This window comes from Homo sapiens, chromosome 5, assembly GCF_000001405.40.
Source record: "Homo sapiens chromosome 5, GRCh38.p14 Primary Assembly".
Taxonomy (NCBI): Eukaryota; Metazoa; Chordata; class Mammalia; order Primates; family Hominidae; genus Homo; species Homo sapiens.
In genome coordinates this window covers 63874502-63878872 of record NC_000005.10, presented here as the reverse complement: position 1 = coordinate 63878872, position 4371 = coordinate 63874502, and positions in this window count along the sequence as shown.

Below are 4371 nucleotides of genomic sequence, written 5' to 3'. Positions count from 1 at the left end.
GATGGCAGAGTGAGGAGAGGGCAATTTTAAGACAGCCTGTTCAGCTGCATTTGTTTCCTCTGGCCAAATGGTTACTGCAGAAGAGAGCCAGGAATGAATATGGTAATCATAAAATGGTTTTGAAGGTTTTTTATTTGGAAACAATTTAAAACTTACCAAAAAACTGCAGTCTAACTTAGAGAACTTCTGTGTTCCCTTTACTGAGATTAATCAACTGCTAACATTTGCCACATGTGCCTTATGTTTTTTGGGTTTTTTCTTTATCATTCTCCCCATTCCCTGCTATCTTTCTATGTATAAAGTTTTGGTTTTTTTTTTCAAACCATTTGAGAGTAAGTTACAGGTGTCATGTCTCTTACCTCTTATTGCCTCATCATTTATTTTTATGAGCAAGGACATTGACCTACATGACCCCAAAACAATTATCAGAATCAAGAAATGTAACATCAATAGATGACTACTATTGACAGACTACTTATGTGTTACCAATTGTTAATTATATAGTTTATTATTCAAATCAGGGCAATTTTGAAAGTGAAAGAGTGATATTAAAAATTATGCCAGGACAACAGGTATAAACTGAGGCCATGCTAAGAAAACTAGGATGTATGGTCAGTCATTCTGGGCTTGAATGGTCTGTTAAAGATCTTATTCAAGAGAGCTGCCCCCTTCAGGAGTGAGGGAAATCACCAGAAAGGGGCCAGAAGTGCACACTGAGAGCTGAGGCTGAGGGTGACTCCCAAGGGCTAGCCAGGGTTCAGAACTAAGGGCAATATGGTGGCCCTTGCCTTGTGAGGGTGTGAGGAATGCACAAATGCATTCAGCGTGATACAGCAGCATTTGAATGCCTGCTTTGGCAGCGTACAGGACAGCTGAGAGAGTGAGACAGCCTGTGCCAGCTGAGAAAAACCATTTTGTCCCTTTCTGCCTCAGTCCTCTACCACTATGGTGGTCCTGGAGGAAAGAGAGGCAGTTCAGGGAAGAGAGGGAAAGAGGTAAGACAAGGGGAATGAAAAGGCAGACTAGGTCCCTTCTTTGTCACTTCTGTTCCCCACCATTGAGATTAGAATTGCACCAGGGGAGGGAGAGGCTTTATTATGATGAGAGATTAAGGTTTGCAATTATATTGGAGAGAAACTTTTAAAATTAAAAACAAAATTATTCAAATACATGAAAGTGATGGGAAAAACAATGCAATTTTCTCTCACGGGGAAGAAAATCCCATAGGTCATGTTGAAGGAGGTGATGGGAGAAAAATGACACAAATTTTCAAATCCAGCATGTCTAATAAGCTGACTACACATGGTTTAGAAAAAATCAAACATTGCCTAAGTAAAATAGAACCAAAATTCACCACTTCTTCTTCTCTCCCCAGCCCTCTGGAAAGCTGTGCTTTACTTGTTTACATTATTCTTCTGTTCTCCCTTTTATTTTTTTAAAAATATGCATTATATATATATGTATATACACATGCATGTATATATATGCATGTATATATATGTGTGTGTATACATATGCATGCATATACATGTGTGTGTGTATATATGTATGAAATACTGCACATCCTATACTAAATTTGCTTTCTTCACTACTTTACTATATGCAATAGGTATCTTACAACATATCATCGGCTCTTCATGTTACAAACTGTAAAGATCTACCTCATTGTAGGGACACATCATTGTGTGAATGTGCTATGATTTACCTAACCAATTCATTATTTATGACAGTTTGTTTTCCATCATTAGTGATAATAAATAATTTATTATATCTTTAGGATAAATTCTCAGTGAACTTGTATCCAAAGTGTAGACTTAAAGGATTTTGTGATATACAATGCCACATTTCCTTTCCAAAATTTGTATCTATGTACACTAGCAATAAAAAGAGGGCCTCTTTCCTCACCTTATTGTCAAAAATTTAGTGAATATTATTTGTCTATCAAGTACTTATTCATTCACAAAGGGATACACTTCAAAATCTAGTGAATATTATTTGTCTATCAAGTACTTATTCATTCACAAAGGGATACACTTCAGTTTACTTTCCAGTGGTCATAACCAGAAATACGACAGTCCAATGGTACAGAATGGAATAATAATTTTTTTCTTTTCTTTTTCTCTTTCCTCTTTTCTTCCCTTCCGAATAGCTCTTCAGGTTTAAAACCTAAGAATTAATGGGAGAAGCAAACAAAATAATTCCACGCACTGCCAATGTTGAATATATTCACAGCTTTCCAAAATTTGATAGCTGGATCTGAAATTGTTTTTTGCCTTAATACAATTTTGTTTCTGGCTGATCATATGGTTCACCACAGAACCCACCTCCACTTGTTGACTGGTTACTTTCAGTGACATCTGTGTGAGTGGGATGTTAGAACATTCTGCAAGAACTGCAGAATTGTGCTTCATAGGATTATTAGAATTATGCTTCATTTGATACCATTTCAATTCTTTGCTTCTGTTTTTCCCTTATGCTAACTCTCTAAAAACTGAAAAACTAATAATAGCAGTAAGGTTGGAACCACAAAATTGTGGCCTTTTGTCTGGCTAGGCACTTAAGAGCATCTCAACTATGAATTTGCACTCCATCTACTTTGCTTATAACGGTGAAAATTCAGGTAATTTCTTTTCTTCATGAAGACGCATTGTTCATAAATGGCATGTTTCTTGCTTACTCCTGTGCTGAAGCCATGCTTAAGTTCCCAAGGGGAGATTATTTCATAGAAAAGAAGAGTGAATCAGGTGGCCGTGTAGGACTGACAAAGACCCGGCCTGCTGCGCCCATGAATAGCTCCCAGTGGGTCTCACAGTTGTAGCTCTAAAATAAGTCAATTGCTTAGCTTTAGGAGTTACTTTAATTCTTTATGCTTACCAAAGTCTATATAGACCAACTAAAATATTATTTTTTAAATGAAATAGTACTCTATTAGAAGGTTGAAGCTTCTCCAAAAGAGTCATAATTCTTTTCCACCGGGCCATGTATTTCCAAAATTTGCATTGCTGGAGCATCTCGGCTGTTCGTAGGAAGTTCCCACAAATATGGAAAAGATGAGTAATTTTTTTTTATAACTCAGAGCTTTTATGGAAGAAACAGTCTGCAAATAACAGTGCATGAACTCTTATCCATGTGGCACCTTAGGGTGCTATTAGTCAGAAGGGATAAACTAGAGGTTGCAAACAACTGGCCAGCAGGATCATCTGTCCCATAGTCATTTCCTTTGTCTAACACAAGGTGTTACGGACTGAATGTTTGTGTCCCTAAAATCCTAAACCCCCAAGGTGATGGTATTAGGTAGAGATGGGACTTTTGGGAGGTAATTTAGGCCATGCAAATGGCACCCTCATAAATGGGATTATTGCTCTTACAAAGGAAACACCAGAGAACTCTCTCCCACTCTTTCCACTATGTGAAGGTACAGTGAGGAGTGGGCAGTCTGCAACCTGGAAGGGGACCTTGCCAGAACCTGACTGTGCTGGCACTTTGATCTCAGACTTCCAGCCTCCAGAACTGTGACAAACAAATTTCGATTATTTATAAGACACCCAGTATATGGTGTTTGTTATAGTAGCCCGAACTAAAATAGGGCTTTTCAAAATATTGATCATTAACCGGTATTTAAAAATCTGGATTTCAAGTTTCTTTTGGAAAACTGAAAGATCTAGTATTGCTTGGGTGACATTCTTACACAATAATCATATCACTGCCCCTTCAGGACAGAATATGGTCTTCACTCATTTACATTACCTGCTTACTGTAGAATCTTGAATTTATAACCCCTGTTACATTCTAAAGAGGCACAACATACCTTTTTTGAGAGGCAATTCTTTAAGACAGCTCAGTTTGCTATCCTTTTTAAAGTTTCACATTCCCACTGAGTAAATGATTCTATGTTCTGGCAACACTTTGTACCTATCTGGATGAAGGTACTTTTCATAATATGTTGTTGCTTTTTCCCCTAAGCCTACCTTCTCCTATAGACTTTGAGGGTAGAAACCGTTTCCTGATTGCCATTTTAATGTTCCAGTGCCTATCACTGCATGTAGGTCCTTGAGAGCTGCTTTCTGAATGAATGAATGCTTGAATGAACAAATGAACAAATGGCCCATTCTATTAATGATGACTTGGGTTTCCAAACTAAGAGGGATAGAGGTGACTTAGGATGAATTTTTCTCAACATTTGGTACTGTTTGAATAGTTTGCATCATATAGATCTTCAAATCAATGTCATTTGAAGCCTGAGCTATAAATTAGAGCAACACTATTGCCATGGAGCAGCTTTGTTTTTTTCTGAATACTGTGAATAACAATTCTTATTTGATTATCCTATTAAAATTAACACAAAACCTAACACAAACTCATTATCCCTGT